Source organism: Homo sapiens, chromosome 21 (assembly GCF_000001405.40).
Source record: "Homo sapiens chromosome 21, GRCh38.p14 Primary Assembly".
Lineage (NCBI taxonomy): Eukaryota > Metazoa > Chordata > Mammalia > Primates > Hominidae > Homo > Homo sapiens.
In genome coordinates, this window is record NC_000021.9 from 37641491 (window position 1) to 37663542 (window position 22052).

General features: G+C 45.7%; 1 protein-coding gene and 1 long non-coding RNA gene across 2 annotated transcripts in view, besides 1 other annotated feature; one reads left to right on the forward strand and one right to left on the reverse strand.

The window, feature by feature from the left end:
• The window catches only part of KCNJ6-AS1 (KCNJ6 antisense RNA 1), a 222067-nt gene that overhangs the window by 122855 nt on the left and 77160 nt on the right, over window positions 1–22052 (forward strand). The window lies entirely within an intron of this gene.
• KCNJ6 (potassium inwardly rectifying channel subfamily J member 6) overlaps window positions 1–22052 on the reverse strand; it is a 309085-nt gene that overhangs the window by 34118 nt on the left and 252915 nt on the right. The gene's annotated exons all lie outside the window — the stretch shown is intronic.
• Window positions 6555–7055: an enhancer, noted in NCBI's record as "H3K4me1 hESC enhancer chr21:39020347-39020847 (GRCh37/hg19 assembly coordinates)". NCBI's record gives its function as "activates a minimal SCP1, AML or CMV promoter by ChIP-STARR-seq in primed H9 embryonic stem cells {active_cell/tissue: H9 hESC(primed)}" and the evidence as "EXISTENCE:reporter gene assay evidence [ECO:0000049][PMID:30033119]".

The window sequence follows — 22052 nt, forward strand, 5'->3', positions numbered from 1 at the left end:
AAAAGGACTGTATTTGGTCTTGTGTGCAAATTAGTAAAAATGTCTCCCTGAGGATGTGACATTTGAGCTAAGATTTGAAGGATGGATAAGGCAACGTGTGGGGTAAGGGTGAATGCCCTACAAGCAGAGGGAACAGCATTTGCAGGGGGAAGAGCTGTTGTAGGAAGGCTCCTTGGGTGTTCAAGAAGCTGAAAGTAGACGAGTGTGTTTGGGGGATGGGCAGGGGAGCTTTTGGTACCAAATGAAAACACTGCTCTGACTGCAGAGGAGAAAACGACTTGGAGGAGGACAAAGTAAGCAGATGTGGGGGAAATAGAAAGCTGCTTCAATTGCACGAAGAAGAAATTATAGTATTGGGACTAGAACAGAAGTGATGAAGATAGGGAGACTGAAATGGATTCAAGACATATTTAGGAGGTCAAGTAGACAGACCTCTGTAACGAATTATTCATGAGGGCCAGTTAGAGGGAAGAGCCGAGAAGGACACCCAGGTTTCTGGCATGGGCAACAGGACGGATGGATGGTGGTGCCACTGGGAATCTTGAATGCAGGAAGATGATACGTTTGGTTTTGGACATGTTTACATTGTTGTGGCTTTGACACATGCAAGAATATTGAGCAGGCCATCGGGATAACCAAATCTCAGATCTACAGAAGAGGCCTTGGTTAGACATACACAGTGGGGATATCAGTGGCATATGGATGATAACAGAAGCCTGGGAGGGGGCGAGATTGCCTAGGGAGGGTCAAATGAGAAGGAAAGGCTGAGCAGGAGACAAAGCCTGTGAAAACGTAACATCTGATGGGCAGGAGAAGGGGGATGAGCCTGTCCAGGATGTTGAAAGAGAGAGGCTGGAGAGGCAGTAGAAGATCCGGAGAGCAAAGGGCGGCAGAAGCCACGTGAGGAGGATATTTCAGGAAGAGCAAGTGGTTAACGCTGTCAGAAAATGCTAAAAGAGAAAACTGCCGCAAACTGAACAATATGCATTGGATTCAAACATGGTGGTCAAAGCTGAGGGGTAAAGAGGGAGCCAGTGAGGTGGTTTGAGAAGTGTTTGAGGTGAGGAGGTGGGAAGTCAATATAGAAAAGTTTCTCAAGCATCTGACCCCGAAGATAGGGGAGAAGGCAAAAGTTAGCAAGGGATATGGGGTTGGGTGAGTTCTGAAAGCCGTGAGCATCCGACCATGTTTAAACATGGCTGAGAAAGGCTCTGTTTGAGTGGGTGTGGCTCCATCTACAGGTAGGGGAGGAGGTGATCAACTATTTAAGGTTCTGGAGAGATGGGTGAGGCTGGGAGAAGGAAGTTTGGCTTAAAAATTTAAAAACTTTCTACTAAAACAAAAAAAGATACTTATAACTAAAATGTCTTCATCATGAAAGATAAAAGCAGGATCTGTGATCCTGAGCATGCCCTCTGGTGAGTTGACAAGTCTTGGGAAAGCTTATGTGATATTATTGCTCTGTGTAGCTGAAACATAAACATCTATGTCAATGGACTTTATGATTCTAGTAAAAACAGACAGACCTCCAAGTTTTGAGTATGATAACTGAACAATATAGAGCTATGGGTGGTGGGGGGGACAGCTTAACAAAAGACTTAGGATCTTTTTGATGGACAACAGGCATATAGTTGGGCAATTTTCATGGATCTATGGGCTCCAGTCCTAGTATGTTTACCACTGGTGTTAAAGGCAGGTATTGTGCTTTTGAGAAGACAAAAGCTCCTAGGAAACTCTGTCTACATTGTTTCTGTAGCAGTCAAGTGGAAAAAACAGTAGAGGCAAACCCTCTATGATGGTCTCATCTTAATTACCTAGCCCTTCATGAAACCAGGAGCTCAGGGAAGCCACCCTGTGGACAGGAAACAGACTGGCCATCAGACCAAGACACTCAGAGCCAAGGGACCTGGTAAGAGTGAGTGCAGTGGTTTCAGAGCTCCTGTTGTGGGCAAACTCACTGGTCTGGCCCTGCCTCTACCCTTGCTCCTGGAAAAGGAAGAATGCCTTTAGCTGGGCCCTGAAGAATGGGCAAGGGGTGGGTAGCTGGAGGGGCCAGGGAGTTGCTGCACGGGAGTCGGACCAATGTGTGTCAGGGTCTCTATCTGTTGTTTGCAAACAAGCTCTGGACTAAGGTGATACCACCCAGATGTGGACACCTGAGGAAAAGCTAAATTTGTCATCCTGTGCAAACTATTGGTCTCCCACAATCCCCTGTGACCCCTTAGGTCTCTAGACCTCCCTTTGCCACACATTTGCATCTGGGCAATTATCCAGGAAGGTGAAAGTGAATAGAAAGGTCTCCTGAAGGCAGAGGGTTACTAGAGAGAAAGAAGTTTAGACCTAAAAACAGAAATATCAATCGACCCAGCAGTCCCATTACTGGGTACATACCCAGAGGAATATAAATTTTTCTGTTACAAAGACACATGCATGTGTAGGTTCATTGCAGCACTATTCACAATAGCAAAGACATGAAATCAACCTAAATGCCTATCAATTGTGGATTGGATAAAGAAAATGTGGTACATATACACCATGGAATACTATGCAGCCATAAAAAAGAATGAGATCATGTTCTTTGCAGGAACATGGATGGAGCTGGAGGGCATTATCCTCAGCAAACTCATGCAGAAACACAAAACCAAATACCACATGTTCTCACTTAAAAGTGGGAGCTAAATTATGAGAACTCATGAACACATAGAGGGGAACAACACACACTGGGGCCTGGTGGAGGGCAGAGGGTGGAGGAGGGAGAGGATCAGGAAAAATAACCAATGGGTGTTAGGCTTAATACCTGGCTAATAAAATAAGCTGTATAAAAAATCCCCATGACGCAAGTTTACCTATACAACAAACCTGCACATGTACCCCTGAACTTAAAATAAAAGTTAAAAAAAGGAGAACTTTTACTGATTTGTCAAAGCATATAATGCCATATAATACCTATTAAAACAACTTTTGGTTCCCCAAACCGAGATTTGCCTCTGTGGTATAAGATGCATGTGTCTAAGGCTTGATTTAGTAACTGGGTAATTTACTTGTTGGAAGGAAATAGAACGTGTAAACCTCTCCCCCCGACATATTTTTAGGTCTATGAATCTGACTGATATTTCAGAAGTATAGAGAAACTGGAGAAATTAAACTAAAAATTAAACACAGCTTACGCCTGGCCTAGCTATAGTTCACTTTTATTGCCTTTTCATAATTGTTTACGTTCTCATTAATTTTGCACCTCGGGAGCCACATTTGATCAATTTGCAGAGTGATAAAATATCGCCATTCTCTGAGGACCAGTTTGTACCCTGCTTTGTTAATAGCCTGTCAAAAGGAAATGCCTTGAGCGTGTTTTAAATTCTTCTTAAAGTTAAGGGAGACTGGCGAAACAATAGCCGGACTTCCTGCCCTCCCTCCTCACCTCCGCATCCTTTCTAAAAGATTCCAAGGTGCCCTTCTCATGGGGAGGAGGGCTGATGAGCAAGGGAAGAAGAAAGGAGAGCATCACTGGTTGCAAGAAAACAGGTGGGTTTTTTTTTTTTTTTTTTGTGAAAAAACAGACTTTAAAGAATTTTGAACCAAAAGCAATAGATTTTTTAAAACAAGGCTGGGTATGGTGGCTCAAACTCGTAATCCCAGCAATTTGGGAGGCTGAGGCAGGAGGATCATTTGAGGCCAGAGTTAGAGACCAGCCTGGGCGACATAAAGAGACCTTGTCTCTACATAAAATAAAACAAATTTAGCTGGGTGTGGTCCCAGCTACTCAGGAGGGGAGGCTGAATAGGGAGGATTGCTTGAACCCCAGAGGTCGAGGCTGTGGTGAGCCATGATTGCACTACTGCACTCCAGCCTAGGCAATACAGCAAGACTCTGTCTTTAAAAACAAACAAATAAAAACAAATAAACAAAAAAACCAAACAAGCTCCTTACAGAGTGACTCACAAATCCAGCACCAGGAAGATGATAAAATAGAGACATATTTATCGAAGCAACCACATCTTCTCGTGGGTCATCTAATGAAGGCAGTCTTAAATTGAAATAGTGGGCAAATTTGGAAAAGTAAATGTAGTTTGCATCCTCCATGTTTGTGAAGGTCTGTGGATCTTGGTGGCAGTGAAGTGTTTGAACCATGTTTAATAGGGAAGTTTTGTCCCAGAGGTTCTAAGCCATTCTGCCTAGGCTGCTCTGGGGCTGCGGTGACCCTGGAACGGGTGAGCACCCAGTGGTATCCCAGGTACCAGTGTTCCTTTGGTGGTAGCTACTAGACTAGAAAATATTACTTGTAGAGTCACGTAGCAGCCTTTTCCAGAGCTTCTTCATAAATCTGATTCATTTTTACTATTAGAGCTGTCTCAAGAGGTCCAGAGTCCAGTGCACAGCCTCTCTTGTGATCTGCTGGAAGTCCCTCACTTCTTCGGACTTAACAGTGAACAGTTAATAAAACGGGGGTAAAAATCCACTTATGACTCTGTTAAGGACTCTCACCCTTTCTTCACACTTGGAATCTTTCCTGACTTGTGGAAAATTTGGTTTGGTTTATAGAATGTGAGACAAGCCTTCTGAATTCGTACATCCTCGTAAATGTATGCGTAATACATTTAGAAGTCAGAGAGTCTCCTTCAGTCCAAGTCTAGTTTTGAAGTATTTATTTCAAGTGTATATATCAACGGATCTCTACATTCCTACATTAACTGGGGTAATGTAACCTAGGAGAGTTTAGCATTTCAAATATTTTTTATATATATTTCATAAGAAATATTTTCAGGAACAAATGAAAACTTGGTGTGGCAAAATAAACCCCCACCACGCTACATCCCTTGGCTCACAAATCACCACCATGTGCCCAAGTTCTGTCCTGTGAAATTCTAGTAATAACAGGATTATCTCATCAATTTATATTCACACCTGTAGCTTGTTATTATCCCGGGGTGACATGAGATCCTTGTAGCTTAATCATTTATTTGGCTCAGGCTTTTAAAGACGAGCGGGAGCTGAGTAACAGCACTGTGTGCCTCTCTGGGCTAATCTCTGTCATCTCAACACACTGTTTTCCCTCTAGGGAGGGTTGGCATGTTCCAGTTCCAGCAGCCGGTGTGCCGGGCGATGTTCAGCAGAGCCAGAGAGCAGGAACAGCAGGTACCAGAATCCTGGGTCACGGTGCAGTTTCAGTTAGTTTTTTAAATTATTTTTATTTTTTTTTTTGAGACGGAGTTGGCTCTGTCGCCCAGGCTGGAGTGCAGTGGTGCGATCTCGGCTCACTGCAAGCTCCGCCTCCCGGGTTCACGGCATTCTCCTGCCTCAGCCTCCCCAGTAGCTGGGACTACAGGCGCCTGCCACCACGCCCGGCTAATTTGTTGTACTTTTTTAGTAGAGACGGGGTTTCACACGTGTTAGCCAAGACTGTCTCCATCTCCTGACCTCGTGATCCGCCCACCTCAGCCTCCCAAAGTGCTGGGATTACAGGCCTGAGCCACCGTGCCTGGCCAAGTTTCAGTTAGTTTAGTTTCAACAGCAGCTCTTCCAAGGTGGTGGAAATAGACTGTGTGTAGGGATCAGAGCGACGGGGAGGGATGGAGCCCTTTCATCTGTCCTATTTTGAGGAAGACAAGTCATGTATTAAATGAAGTAATACATGAGGATATAGCACAGGGCAGAACATGTAACATGTTCTTCATGACATCACTTATTATGCATGGGCTATTATTGGTATCCTTATTATAACTTGAAGGGGCTGACTTAATTCTTACTTTTTAGCTCATTTCTTTGGATCCATGAGGTTTTTTGGTCTTACTTCTAAGAGTGTCCTATTAGACATAAAGACTTGGCCGACAGATGTGTGTATGAGTAGGGTCGGGATGGAGGGGAAGCTGTATTTTGTGTCTATGTCAGAAACGGCTTAGTTCTGGGTTAGTGTCTTAACCATGTCTTTTATTTTCTGTATTCTGATCCTTTGACATCTGAGGCTGTGCTGACCCAATTGCCAGAGACCAGTAAACAACATTTGCCCATGGAATCACTTTTCAGATGCAAACCAATGGCTCCAGGGTCCATACCCCCAATCACTTCTCTCATGAAGCTCTCTCACTCCAGGCCATGATCCACTCACCTTAATCCCCCCCAGAGTTAGGCCTCAAACATTAGGGACAGTCTCCATGCTCCAGAGTCTGCTGAAATGATCCAAACTAGCCCATCCTAAGCCTGCTGACCAGCATCATCCATTCCTTCTCATGGAAACCATGATAAGGGGTCTTGCCCACAGCTTCCCTCCCTTGTTCCCTCCTGGCTGACAGGGTGCTTCCTCATGTGGAACACCTCTGCCCCCCAATGACATGGTGTGGCCCCGACTTTGGGAACTGTGAGTAACAAACACCTCAGCAGAGCTTTGTGGCAGCAGAGGCAGCATCTATACCTTGGTTTATGTTGATATTGCGTGGAAAATGGCACTGCTAACACTGATTGCATTTCCTGGACCTCAAGTTGGGACAAGCAGTCTGAGCTGGCAGAATGTGTCAGAAGTCATGCCTGTGATCCGTGACTGTTCTGAGGCTGCAGGAAGCCTTTCCAGCCTGGGTTAGCCAGGAGTGAGCTGGGCTGCTGCTACCACTGACCCTCATCAGACAGCCCAGGGAGGGGGACATCAGGCTGAAGCACAGCTGGTAGGGGTGGCATTTCTGAGCATGCAGGTGTAAAACGGGGGAGGAATCTACAGGGGAGGAGGCTGTGCCCCTGAGGGCATAGGCTGCAATCACTGAGGCCAGGGAGCTCTGTCTACAGAGCTGTGGGCCGTGGAGGGGAGGAAGTCTTGCAAGTAGCTGGGCCTTGTCACTCAAACCTTCATGAATGGCACCTGCTGGCTGAACTCTTGGACTTCTCGGAAAGATGATGGGGAAAGCTGTGGTCTGTAAGGTTTACCTTTCCTCTGGGGAATGCTACTGGCACACGTTATAGACATCAACATTTTAGCTGCTAACCCTGGAGAGCTGGTCTGGGATCTCCATGGGATGTCATCTTGCTAATATTTAGAGTGGGGGACAAAATCCAGAATAGATTATTTCCTTTCCTGGATACTTTAATTTCACTTGTAACCAAATTGCCAATAGGTGCATTTTCTCCTAACCAAATTGCCAATAGGTGCAAGTTTAAAATGACTTCTCTTGGAATAGACAGTCTTAATTTTATTATGCTGCTTCTTGGAGTGTGGATGCCACCTGACAAAATGATGAAAATTAACCTTCTTCCTGCTATTTCTTGGGGTCAGTCATTTGTCCAATCACATCACACTGAACTCATTACTTTGGGTTTTTAAAGTTTTTTTTAAAACTGCAGATATTTAAATCAGGTCACCTACAGAAAGGGAGTTTAGGCCAGGCGCGGTGGCTCATGCCTGTAATCCCAGCACTTCGGGAGGCTAAGGCGGGCAGATCACCTGAGGTCAGGAATTCGAGACAAGCCTGGCCAACATGGTGAAACCCCGTCTCTACCAAAAATACAAAAATTAGCTGGGTGTGGTGGCGGGTGCCTGTAATCCCAACTACTCGGGAGGCTGAGGCAGAAGGAATCACCTGAACTTCGAAGGTGGAGGCTGCAGAGTGCTGAGATTGTGCCATTGCACTCCAGCCTGGGTGACAGAGTGAGACTCCATCTCAAAAAAAAAAAAAAAAAAAAAAGAAAGAAAAAGAAAGGGAGTTTATAAATCACTGTGCTTTTGCTTTCCCTCCTCCTCACTTATCTTACATTTCCTCAAGCTAACCATGGCATGTTGTGGGAGAGGCCGAGGAGTTCCGACCCAAGGAATCTTGACCTGAGATTTCTAGGAGAAGGAGGTGGTGCTGCCTCTTTCCTCTGAGGCCACCTCCAGTTGCACTAATTGTTCAATGTTGTTCCACAGACTCAGAACACATTATAATTGTATGCTTCTCAATAGGAGTTATTAATGAACATAGAATGAGAAATTGATGAAATTTTTTTTAAGTCGAAAAAGCTCTCAGCAGCAATCCCATGACGAAACCCAGGAGACAGGGCTTTCTGTAGTGGGAGGCTGTGGGCAGGAGAGTTTGTTTGCAAGAGGCTGTCTGCGGCACCACCGCGATGTAGCCAGACCCCGCATCACCTTTGCTAGGCTGTGCCTTGCTGACATTTCTGCAGGTGCTGCTTCCAGATGAACCAGCCTGGGTTCTGATCTAGCCACATTGATAATGAATGTTCCTTTTGATACCGAAGCACAAAACTGGGAGAAGCTGAGCTTCTTCACTTATTTCCTATCTGTTTGTTCTATGTCTCTAAATAGGTCTGTCTCGCTCTGTCGCCCTGGCTGGAGTGCAGTGGCGCCATCTCGGCTCACTGCAAACTCCGCCTCCCAGGTTCACGCCATTCTCCTGCCTCAGCCTCCCCAAGTAGCTGGGACTACAGACGCCCGCCACCACACCCAGCTAATTTTTTTTTTTTTTTTGTATTTTTAGTAGAGACGGGGCTTCACCATGTTAGCCAGGATGGTCTCCATCTCCTGACCTTGTGATTCACCCACCTCAGCCTCCCAAAGTGCTGGGATTACAGGTGTGAACCACCGCGCCTGGCCTAATTCCAGCATTTAAAAACAATCTGTCCAGTGTGTCTGCATTCTAGAAAAGCAGGGCACAATGAATGTGGCTTTGATTCTGCCTGGTCCTTAGATAATCCTGGCCACACATTAAGCCCAGGTTTAGCGTCTGGCGCCAGTTCCCTCTGCCCGCTTCCTTGAGCTCTCTGCTCCAGCAAGGTGGGGTGGGCAGATAGGGTTGTTGTAGGCTTGGGCTTTGGCAATAAGCTACCTCTGGACTGAGTCCGAGTTCTGCCTCTCACTCTCCACATGAGTTGTGACAAGCTCCATTACTTTCCTGAGCCTCAGTTTCCTTGTGTGTGAAAAAGGAATAATAATACCTCCAGGTTGTTGTCAGGTGCACATATGGTAGGTACCAGGTGTGTAGTGCGTTATAACTGCCTCGCTGTGGGCTCTCAACAAAGACGGCAACTGGATGGCCACAGCCTCCTCACTGTCCTGCGTGTCATTCCCCTGCCTGGACTACGCTTCCTCTCCCTCTGTTTATTGAAATTCTATCCAGTGGTTTTAGGAGGCCTCTCTGAGCATCTCAGCCAGCTTTCCTTCAAGAATCCTGCTTCATCTATTGTCTGAAGCACCTGCTAGGCTCTTCACACTCTGCTTATTGCTTTTCACTTGACAATTTTTGAGGTTTCATTCATTACAATTATCAAAAGAATTTTGGCATAAGTCTTCCTTCCCCAACTAGGCTGTCAGTCTCTGGCGTTTAGTAAATATGTATGCTTTGTCTGTCTTTGTACATCCACCCTCATCTCCTAATCAGATAATCTCAATGAGATTTGTATCTCTTGTATACCATAAGCTCGATAAATACTTGATAATACTCGATGACAACTCAAAAGTTCAATTCTATTGCCACTCCTTGAATTATAATAGCACTTACTCTGTGAGACAGTTACTATGTTAATTATCAGAATGAATGAAACTAGAAACAGACCTTCTCCTCCTAAAACTTATCGAGGCTAGGGAAATGAAAGACATTGATCATTGTATAAAACTTGTAATGAGTTTTACAAAAGAAAGGTACAGAGAGCCACAGGACCATTTAAGGGCAGGAGCTTGGTGTCACTTGGGAGTAGGGATGGCTTTCTCGATGTCACACTACAGGGGGGTGGACAGAGAAGGGTATCCCTGGACTGAAGGAGCAGTGACTGTGTTGTGGGGACAGTCATACATGAGATAATGATATGAGGTGAGGCTAAAGAGGAGAGCGGGGGCCCACATGTAGGCCTGTCGGCCACATCAATAAACCAGCCTTCCCTCTAAAAGCAGTAAGAAGGCATTGGAGAGTTTGGAGGAGATAGATAGGATCCTCCTCTCTGTGTTTTGAAAAGAGCCCTTGAGCTGCAGTGCTCATAGGGGACTGGGGCAGAGCAAGAATGAACAAACCGAGAGCAAGGAGGAGCCTTCCCAGTGGTCTGGGCAAGGGATGATGGCGGGTAGATTGGAGTGGTCATGCAGAGGAAGGGAGTGGAAGGATTCAAGACAGAGCGGGGAAGGGAAATAGACTGAGCTTGATGCTGGGTTGGAAATGGGGACAGGGAACATACAAATTCCCTTGATGTCATCTAGGTTTCTGGACTGAGCACCTGGGTGGACAGTGGAGCTGTACACCAACATATGGACTCCTGGAGAGGACTGGATTGAGAAGGAGTGTGTGAGTTTAGTTTGGACAGGTTAAGTGATGCCCAGGCTCTAAGAGGAGCTGTCAAAGGATGGTTGGATAAAGTCTTCTGGAACTTTAGGGACAAGTCTAACTTGTCCAGCATTGATGGTGACTAGTTCACATGTCAACTTCAACCACAGTCTCCATCCTGCGGGCTTGTAACCTTATTTTCAACCTTACTGACCCACTGATTTTACTCCATATCTCTTTAGGATGAGTCTTTAGGTTAGAGGTAAATTTGGGAGTCACTGGTGTACAGTAGCTGATGTTGTGGAACGTCAATGAGAATTGGAGATAGAATAGAGTGAGGGGGGAAAAGAGATTAGTTAGACTGAACCTTGAGAAAATGAACCAACATTTTCATGGCTGGTTACAGGAGGTGGAGGCTGAACAACAGCTTGAGTGAATAGAGGCAGAAGAAAAACCAGGAAGCTTCAGGTCATAGGAGCCCACGGAGGAGAGTGGTTCCAGAAAGAAACAGTGGTCAACATCAAAAACTGCTGGATGGACAAAAGAAATGGAACTAGTGTATTGGATTTAAAGACTAAAGATCATTGATGAGCTGGGCAGGGGATGTTTCAGCAGAACAGTGGGGTCAGAAACCTGTGGGAGCCTGTTGAGTAGTGAATGGCAAAAAGAAGAGGAAGAATGGAAGTATCAACAACTCTTTTGAAGAATTTGCTTGTCAGGGGGCAGAAAGAGCCAAGGTTGATGGAGAATTGTGGAAGCGAAGGAGGGTTTTTGTTTTTTTTGTTGTTTTGTTTTAATGGGAGAGACTTGACACAATTACATACAAAGAATTCATTGGGAAGAGAGAGGTCAAATATTTGGGAGAAAGAGGGGATTATTTATAGTGTTTTAGGGTGAGGCTATTCTGGATTGTCCAGGACTAAGAGGTACCCTGGGACACAGGACTTTTAGTGCTAAAACTGGGATAACTTTGGACAAACTGGGATGATTGGCCACTCTAGTTGTCAGATAGGCAAGAGAAGATGGGACTTAAAGCACAGGAGCTGGAATTTTCTGCAGGAAGAGGGGCATTTTCTCTTTTGCAATGGGAGGAAAGAAAAGGATGGACTCAGATGTGGAAAACACTGCAGGCTTACTTGAGGAAGCTAGGGGATTCCTGTCTGATGTTTTCAATTTCCTGAGTAAGTCCATTTGCTGAGAGGGAATGAGTGGAGAAAGTTTGAAATGCTCTTTGTGGAGCCTGGGAGAGCACATTGAACAGAAAAATTACTGGGCAGCGTTGAAGGTCCCTGTGAGGTTGGGTTGCATGAATTTAGAATGATGCTCATCTGCCCGTGTGTGTGTGGGATTATTTAGCAGAGATCAGCAGCTCAAGTGCAGCTCACAGAAGGTCAATATTTGGCTACTTCTAGGGCTGACATTTTCTCCAGTGATGCAACAACAACAACAGCAACACAAAACAAAGGAGTAAAAAGGGAATTAAGGAACTGTCAAGAATTTTACTGAATTCATGGACTAGAGCTGGATAAAGAAAGAAGTGAAGACAGGAAACGATAATGAATTTGGAGTAAAATCAGTGGGTCAGTAGGTTGAAAATAAGGTTACAAGCCTGCAGGATGGAGACTGTGGTTGAAGTTGACACGTGAACTAGTTGCCATCAATGCTGGTGGCGCAGGTGTGTGGTGGCAAGGGGTGCTGGCCAGGCTGCAGAAGCAGATGGGGAGATGTAAACATGCATTCTCTTTATGGGAAGTTATGACAAAGGAAGGGAGGGATTAAAATACTCAAGGGGGGACGTAGGGTGAATGATGATGGAAGCAAGCTTTCTAACTGTGCTTAAAAAATAAAGCAAATGCATTTAAATGCTTTAGGGAAATTGCTGTTATCAACTGCCAATATTAATTCCACAGTGCATGGTATTACAGGACTTCAGTCAATGTTTGATACATTTCATAGGCTCTCTCCATCCTGTCTTCAACCCTGTTGTAATTCTAGTTTGGTATTCTGAGCAAAGTATTAGTTTAATTATCTTGCCTTTCTTATTCTCTGATGTACTATGTTCCATTCTTATCAGGTTGCACAAGGTAAGCATATTTGACTTGTCTTAGCCAGCAAACCACTTTCCACAGAAAGTTAGAGATGCATTCTTAGTTAGGGCAACCTCTAGAAAAATGGAGTGAAATATGAAAGACATTACTCAAAGTGTGAGAGAGTCCCACCCCAACAGAGACTCCAGGACCCTACGGTGGCTCAAGAAGGAGTGTGGGGACCCTAGAAAGTTCTGGAACCAGCCTGGAGAGACTCTTAGGTAGGAATTTTATAAAGGCTGCCCTTGGGCAACCCTCACTGTCTCTCAGAATCCAAGAAAAAAATTCCACTTTGTGGGTTTTTTTTTTTTTTTTTTTTTGGTGTGTGAGCATTAGGGATCATGGACGTGCAGCACCAGGCACAGTGGCTCGTTTGTTAGTTCATCCACACTTTTTCCTTTCATTCATTCACTCATGGAATCAGGAAGCAAGCATCTCTTCAGTCTCCATGTCCTGTGATCTAGGTGAAGGTGCTGGAACACAGAAAATGGACACCCACACACCTCAGTAGACTCAACAAATGGAAGCGTCTGTCAGCTCTTCTGCTACTTTCTGATTGGTCTTCTACCTTCTTGATTCGACATCTCTCTGCTGTCTTGACATTTGGTAAAAAAAAAAAAAATGTTTTGGCATTTCCTAATAACTCTTCCCATATTGCTTTCCTCCAGTTTACTCTCACAGCCCCAAATACAGCAGTTTTAGGAGAAACAGCACCAGTCAGGGGTAGGGGCCCTGACTCATGTGTCCTTGAGTGTGTCAAGAGACCCCTCTGGCCACCATGCAGGGCCTGCCCATGCTGTTCCTTGCCATTTTAATGTCTCCGTTGAGCTTCTCAATGGCTCGGTGAAGCAGCAGGCAGGGGTGGTTCTTGCTACTTCCATTTCACTGATGAGCAAATCTATGAGATTAAATGACTGGTCCCAGGGACAGAGCAAATTCATGGAAGACCTGGGTGTCCTGGCATTTGTGGTGGCCTCCTGGCATCTGCATCTTCATCCTGTCTGCACAGCCCCTGGCTGGGTCTGGGGATGCAGCTCTCTCCCTGGCTCTGGGTGAGGAGTGCATGACCAGCCTCAGCCAATCGGCATGGACATCCCCAAGGCCAATGGGTAGGCCTGTGGCCCGAGTCAATCACTGTGATTCTCAGAACTCATGGGAGCTATGGGCAAGTACTACAGCTCTTTCCCATTAAACTTGAACCTGAGAAGATGTGAGAGAGAGGTGGACCGAGACAGAGGCAGCACAAAGGAAGTGGAGCAGGGAGATGGAAGAAGAGAAGGTCCTGGTGACATCATTTGAGTTCCTGGGTCAAGCTCTATCCAAGCTAGTCCTGCCATGGTCTTAGAATACACTGCCTTCACACTCTAGACATTTGTGTGTGTGTGTGTGTGTGTGTGTGTGTGTGTGTGTGTGTGTGTGAGAGAGAGAGAGAGAGAGAGAGAGAGAGAGAGAGAGAGAGAGAGAGAGAGAGAGAGAGAGTGTAACCATGAAGAGGTAATTGATACCTAGGGCCTCTGAGCTCCTCCACCAACACCCTCCCCAGAAGTGGCCAGATTACTTTTGGAGTAATTGTATCATAGGCAAATCAAAGCTGAAATTATTTATGAAGAAGCTGAATGAACTCATTGATTGTTCTTTACAAGAATTTCAACAGACTTTTTCTTCTAAGGAAGAAGTAATACCAGGTCTTATGTGGGTTTTTATATAGGCTGTGCACTTGTGTGTGTGTGTATGTATTTGAGAAGGTAGGACATAGGAAGGTAGAATGGACAAGGGGAATGATGTGAAAATTCTTTGCAAAGTGAAAAGTCCTATTTAAGTATAAAATTATCTTCAGTTATGTTTCAGTTGGTAGTTGGCTTCTTATAATCCAGTGCTTGACTCAGGGACCTTCTCTGATTCTTAGTGGTAACCAGGGAGCTCTGTGTCAGCATGACTCCCATGCATGGGGAAGCATTTTTCCCCAAAGGTCATAACTAGAGGCCAGCCCTGGGGCAGAAGAGGAGCAAGACGAAGCCACGGAGGTCAGGGTTTGCACTTCTGTTTCTGTATTTGGCTGACATCATTCCATGGACTTGGGTGTGGAACTTCCCCTATGTCTCTCTTGCTCTCTCTCTTTTTCTCTTTCCCACACACAGCCCTGGGAGGATGGCATAGGAGAGAGCGTGTGACACCACATGGCCATGGCCCATGGGGGGGCCTTCCTGGACCCTCATGGACTTAGGGGTTTTGCATCACCATGGTGCTGCCAGACGTGGCATGCACACGTTACATCAATGATAATGGGACATGGTGCCTGGACTCAGCGTGATGCTGCTGTGCCCTCTCCAAATGATACACCCCTGCTCCACAGGCTGGCATCAGCTGGCCACACCCCTTCTCCCTGCTGAGCAGCACAGGAGATGCTGACTCCTGGCTCTAGTGCTTTCATCCAATCATTGGGGGTTCTTCCTGCTGTGCTCAGGGTCCACAGAATCTTGACAAGCTCCTCACACAGAAGACACAGGCCTGGTCTGTGCATGCCAGCTTCAGATCCCTCATGAATGCTAAGGGGCTGCCTTGATGTCCCCACCAGCTCTCCTCTCCCTGCTGGGGCCTTCCCGGGCTGCAGCTGCAGACCCAGGCTGAGTCAAAGTGGTTGGTTTGTGGGGTAGACGATGAGCTTTAGCATGGTGGCCCCCCACCCAGGCTCACATGTGGTACTCTAACCTCTGAGGTGGGCCGCATAGCAGCCTCCCTTGCCCGCTCCTCTCCCAGCCTCCCCATGGCTCTGCAGCCCTGCAGGGGTGGTGCAGCTGGAGCTGGAGCGGCTGGGGCTGGCATGGGACACAAGGGCGATTCTTATCTTTGTCCTTTCCCCGGCCTGCCTGAGCTGGACGGTGGCTGGAGATCAGACCCTTGGCTTGCCTTCTGTCAGGGACACTGTCCTCAAAACTTGAGGATGGAAGAGAAATTCACATTCTACGTGGCCAAGCCTCCTGTCTCTCTTCTCTGGGGAGGGGAGGCTGCTTTTGTTTATGCTTCCTTCTCTCTGCTGGAAGAGACTATAATGAGAGGATATTTTCTTGTCCTTTGGCCCAAGAAGTTGGCACCCCAGCGCCAGGGTACTCAATGATGCTTGTGCTTCCTTCCCACCCAAAGAAAAGTTCCAGGGGATGTCAGTGATGGCGCTGTCCTGTTCTGCCATTGGAGGTCCTAGAAGATGCAGAGAGGTTGCTTCTTGGAGAGGAGGGAGGGGACAGGGTGTCCTGCCCTGGTACCCACATGGGCCTTCCTACACAGGGTGAGGAGTCTGAGAAGCCAAGGGGACCAGTCCACCCAGAACCCCTGCCTCACCCCCAGCCGGTCCCCAGGTATCTGGGACCTGGGAACTCTCTCCTCCAACGGCCCTGATCCAAGGCCTGTGCTGGCTAGAGTCATGGAAGGGTGGCTCAGGGCTGCAGAGCTGGGGATGGGACTTGGGGAGCTGGTTGGGGTGAACCTACACACGTCACCAATGACCCTCACTGGATGAGACAGGAGATAAGGGTGGGAGAGAAGAGGCATGTCCTGGGGGCCCCATTTGTGCTCTTGTTCTGGCCCTGAAAACCTTAGGGGTGGGTCTGGGGTGAGGCTCAGCAGTGGGAGCCCTGGGAACCTTCTCTGCCATAAGGACGGGGGATTCTGAGACAGGTGAGGGTCTGCCTAGTGTGCCCAGAAAATAGTTCCTGCTCTTCCTTAGTAGCACAAGCACTGAGGCTGCCTGCTCCCAGCTTGACAGGGGTTCACTAGGACCCCTTCCTCTCCTCTCCCTCCTCTCAAAGAGATTGGGGACTCAGCTGGGATCGTTGGGTGCCTGTAACAAACCAGAGGGGTGCCCCTCACTTTCTGGACTCAGTGAAAATCAGTCTTCTAATTTTGCCCATATCATTCCTGATGAAAATTCAGTTAAGTGAGGTCTTAGAGAAGAGGTAGTAGAGAAAGTGGTAATTTCTCATAACTGACCCGCCCAGGCCACCCTCTGGTTTAGAAAAGTCCCTGCTCCATGAAGGGAATTTTCTGGGGGAGACGGCATCTGAGAAATCAGTATTTCACGACGGTGTCTTTCCAGTGATGGTTCTGCAAGCTGGTAGAGTGGTGAGTCGGGATTTGAACTCAGATCTTTGGCCACCCAGGTTTTCCTTGCCTTGCCTTGCAGGGCTGGTCTTAGGCTTCAAGATTCATTTTTGTAGTTTGTGGGTTTTCTCTTAAAACGAGGCTCTTATTCCTGCAAATATTTACAGGTTACTTTATTCTGTGTGGAACAGAATTGCTTCTAACCTGGTGGGGGCAGGGAACACTGCAGTAAGGGCTCAATTAACTGATTTCACAGTGGTCACGACTCAGACATTCATTTTAGAGATTAAGTGGAAAATAAAAGAGATCAGAGCACCTCAAGCATACAGCAGGAACGCACAGTGAATTAAATGGAGAGATGGAAGTATTTGGTCCCTGAAGACGAGCATGACATTGCGATTTAGCTTGGATGAGAAAACTGAGGTTTCTTGGAAATGCCTACCCACGTGGGGGAATTTCTCTGTCAAGTTTCTGCTGCTTTGCAGCCATTTAAAATGGGTCCTGAAATATCTGCAGTGCAGAACATCTGAGAAGAGCTTTTCATTTGCTAGAATGTTGCAGCAAGCAGGCTAAGCGATGTTAGCAGGCAACTTTGTGATAGATTTAGAAAGCCCCGAAGAAATGGGTGGTGGTGATACAGAGAGATTTTTTCTTTCCTTTTTTTCCTTTTTTGGCTTGTCTGCAGAATAGATGAAAAGAGAAAATATACCCAGATACTTTGCTCACTCTCCCAAGTGCACACTAGGCAATGTAAGCTCCAGAGGCAGCGCTTACAGGAGGGGAAGGGACGCTGAGGCCAAGAGTGCTGGCTCACTGGGGTGGAAGGGACTTCAGAGGGCGTTCCTCACTCCTCTTATTGCAGGTGAAGAAACAGAGGCAGTGGTCCTTTGCCCCAGGCCATTCAGCTGGCCAGTAGCGGAGCCCAGGGCTACCCAGATCCTCCAATGCCCAGGCTGGTCCTCTTTCCTTTCTGACCCCAACACATGAAGAGTCCATCTGGAAATGTTGGCTCCCACACTTCAAAACATTAAACTCCTTGTTCTCTTTCTCCAAATGATTAATTTGTTTTCAGTGTTTACATTAGCTGGAAGCCAAGTTGGGAACACTCCTAACTCGTTTCTCAAACAAGATGTTTTTAAAATGAAGTTTCCCAGCATGGAATGCTTTGCTACTTTGTAAGGGCTTCAGTTGCTAAGAACTTACTGCACCTGTGTCAAAACTGTGCTCTCAGGGCCCCTGGTGGAGTCCAGAAGAAGAGTTCCACGCAGTCCCTGTTTTTCTTTTTTTTCCAGGAACTCCTGGAAACTGAATCACAGATCAGATCATGTTGTTCCACAAGAACGATGTGTCACTGTGAGGCTGCATTCCTGACCACGAACTGAGCACCAAATAAGTCATGGACATGCACCAAAAGGTGTGACCCAAGGGAGGCAGGGTGAGCCCCATGTCTCAGAACATCCTCGCGGACAGCAAAGCCCTTGATGTGGTGGAGTAGGGGCCTGTGGCAACCCCTCACACATGGCAGGTCCTTTGCAACCCCAAGTGCTTCAGATGCTACCAGCCCTCCTTGGGCAGGTCTGAGATGTGACAGAGAAGAAGATGAGAATGGAAAAAGAGAAAGAAGAGCGGAAAACTAAAAGAGGGAAGGGCAGAGGAAAGAGCAGAAATGCAGTCTAGCTGGAGGGCAGGCTGCTGGCTCCAGCCACTGCCTCAGATCCCCCCGACCTGGGGTACTCAGGAGTCTGAGTGGGTACAGGGCTATAGCCTCAATTTCCCCATCTGATGTGGGACTTGCCTTGACCCAATGCCTGGACCACAATCATCCCTGATACCTGAAGCCTCCATAGATATGACTCTTTCTAACGTTTGCTGCTTCAGGATTCAACCTTGTCCACTTTTGGCTTCTTCATGCCCTCTCCAATGAGCAGTGATTCAAAACCTTTTATAAAACTACCCATCACTATCATCTCTGGCAACATGGCTGTCTAGAGAACTCAGAAAACTGTCTCCCTCTGTAATGTTTAAAATGCTGGCTATATTTCAGAAATGTAGATGGCTGCACATGACAAAGTTAAAAAGAAAGGGAAGTGTTCAGAGGTCAAAAGAGGATGCCAAAGTCCAGAGAGCTGCAGGAATGCTGGAGGGAGGCTGCCCTGGGGCAGGTGCTAACCCCATGACCTCAGGTGGCTTTGGTGTGCCCACTTCCTGGGGACTTGGCACAGCAGCTTGGGTGAGACTCACGTGCAGAGCTCACTGTCCAGGCAGCTTTCCCAAGAGGCACCTGCCTGGGCACACACCTACACTCTCTTCCTTTTTTCTTTCACAACTGGTCCCCTCCAACTTGACCAAGAAAGGCCATGTTTTACCAGGATTCCTGCCACAGGGTGCAAGGCCCTAGACAAAGGGGCGAGAGATAAGAAATATCAGTGCTGTTGGACACCCTTCTAATAGTGGCATCATGTGCCCCAGGCTGGCTTCGGGGCTCTCCTTCTCTCCCATGCTCTACCCTGAATGGGAAGCACTGGTCGTGGGGTGTTCTGGCCCAGCTGTGAGGTTCTGAATTCATTTGAGTTGTAGAGTGGGCTAGCACATGGGATGCTGATTTTCCTTTAATGACCTTGCCCCTTCCATTCCCTACTATGGCCACAGAATGCATTGTTCCCATAAGGACCAAACAAAGACTTGTAGACGATGGTAGCTCATGTCACCCAGGCAGCAAACACACACCTCACTGGCGTACCTGTGTTAGAAATAATTTGGGATGGGGAGAAGGCGTGCTGGGACTCTCCATGAGGTTCAGAGCATGCTGCTGTCATGCTCACCACCAGGGCTGGAGGGAGCTTGTTGGAGAGCACGCTTACTGCGGGCCAGGCACTGCACCAGAGGGCACCCGTTTGGCCTTAATTGACACCGCTAATCTTGGTAAGGCCTGTCTCCCATCGGTGTCCCCGTCTGTGCCTTGGTTGGATCATTTGCATGATTTTAAGGTTGAGAAAGTGAAAATGTGCACACCTAAGCAGATTGATGGAACATCTCTGACAGAAAGTCACATAGGATAGAGGTAAGATAGTGTCTTAGTTTCTTCAACATTTACAGGGAAAACACTTTCATGATCTTTTGGCCAAAATACAATTGAATATTGTAAATCCATATTCAACTTTTTTTGCAAGGGTCTATTGAAATTCATACTATCTCTATGTTTCTGAAATTTTCACAGGATATCAGGCTAAAAGAGGCTTTTCTAACTATGAGTAACAGATTAATAGTTATTTGATAACTGTTGATAAGACCCCCTCCCCACTCCCACCTTTTGGTATAATTCCTTGAAAGTGAGAATGTGACTGTCTATAATGACTAGTAACAAATGACTAGTAACTTTTGTAAGATAGGTGGGTTCTAATTATTTGCTTTTAACAAAACGGAAACAGCTTATGGGTAATTTAAAATAACTTTCCATGATTAATCAGCACGTGATTTTTAATAACAAATGACTCCAAAGGGGTTCATAGAACAGAGTGATGTGCTACATCAATACTCATTTCTTCCCTTTTCTGTAATTTTGAGAATAATGTTCATAAGTGCATATATCTAAACTAATAAAGATTGGAACAGAAGTAATGCTGAATCCTGCCTTAGACTACCAGTAAGTCATATTAATCTATAGCTACATGTAAAAAAATTAGAAGCTCCACCCATTTCCTTAAGAGACATAGTTTTTTTTTTTTTTTTTTTTTTTTTTGAGACTGGAGTCTCTCTCTGTCGCCCAGGCTGGAGTGCAGTGGCGCGATCTCGCTCACTGCAAGCTCCGCCTCCCAGGTTCACGCCATTCTCCTGCCTCAGCCTCTTGAGTAGCTGGGTCTACAGGCGCCGGCCACCATGCCCCGCTAATTTTTTCTATTTTTTTTTTTAGTACAGACGGGGTTTCACCGTGTTAGTTGGGATGGTCTCGATCTCCTGACCTCGTGATCTGCCTGCCTCGGCCTCCCAAAGTGCTGAGATTACAGGCTTGAGCCACTGCGCCCAGCCTAAGAGACATAATTCTAATAAAATTTTACTATTTGTACTTAAAAATTATTTACCAAAACTTAATATATTTATGTTTTGATCATTTGCGTTCTGCTTATGTTATAATAACTATCTAGAAGAAAACAATTTAATCCTTGCAGTCTTGTGATCAGAGAAAATTTTATTTATTTTTATTTTTATATTTTAAGTTCCAGGATACATGTGCAGGATGTACAGGTTTGTTACATAGGTAAATGTGTGCCATGGTGGTTTGCTGCATCTATCAACCCATCACCTAGGTACTAAGCCCAGCAAGCATTAACTGTTTTTCTTGATGCTCTCCCTCCCCATCCCCATCCCTGACAGGCCTGAGTGTGTGTTGTTCCCCTCGCTCTGTCCATGTGTTCTCATTGTTCAGCTTCCACTTATAAGTGAGAACATGTGGTGCTTGGTTTTCTGTTCCTGTGTTGGTTTGCTAAGGATAATGGCTTCCATTATTCCAGCTTCATCCATGTCCCTGCAAAGGACATGATCTCATTCCTTTTTATGGCTGTATAGTATTCCATGGTGTATATGTACCACATTTGCTTTATCCAGTCTATCATTGTGGGCATTTGGGTTGATTCTATGTCTTTGTTATGTGAATAGTGCTGCAATGAACATATGCATGCATGTATCTTTGTAATAGAATGATTTATATTCCTTTAGGTATATACCCAGTAATGCGATTGCTGGGTCATATGATATTTCTGGTTCTAGGTCTTTGAGGAATCGTCAGACTGTCTTCCACAATGATTAACTAATTTACATTCCCACCAACAGTGTAAAAACATTCCTATTTCTCCACATCCTCGCCAGCATCTGTTATTTCTTGACTTTTTTATAATCACCATTCTGACTGGCGTGAGATGGTATCTCATTGTGGTTTTGGATTTGCATTTCTTGAATGACCAGTGATGTTGAGTTCTTTTCTCGTATGTTCATCAGCCACATAAATGTCTTCTTTTGAGAAGTGTCTTTTCATGTCCTTTGCCCACTTTTTAATGAGGTGGTTTGTTTTTGATAAGATTTTTAATATTTTAAATTTTGTATACATATTCTTGTTGCAGAGAGGTCTGAGAGGGTGATTAAAAAATACTTGGAAGCAAAAAAAATTTAATATATTAGGATAAAATTCTGTAGGTGAGATGAAATGGAAATAAAAGTTCAAGGAAGAAAAGGATACTCTAAAACTCCAGATGTTTAAAGAAAGGCTTGACTTGTGTTTTTTTAGTGGACGATGATGGGTATTGAATTGTTGTAAATTTATATTCCATGGGATCTATTTACATGAGTTCTGTAATTGTTTATGTCAGTATTTACAGTATGCTAGAAAAAACATCTTTTATAATTATTTAAGCTTATAATAAAAATTCTGGATGTCAAATTAAAAATATGTGAGAGGCCTAATAGTTTTCCCAAATGTTTAAGGAGTATGTGAGCAAAAAAGTTGAAGACCACTGTCTTAGAGCACTCAGCTAATTCTCTAGTTAAAAGACAAAGAGAGTTTCATGAAACAAAAAAAAAAAATCCAGCTACATACTGTTTACAAGAGGCACTCCCCAAACAAAAGGGCATAGAAAAGTTGAAGCTAAAA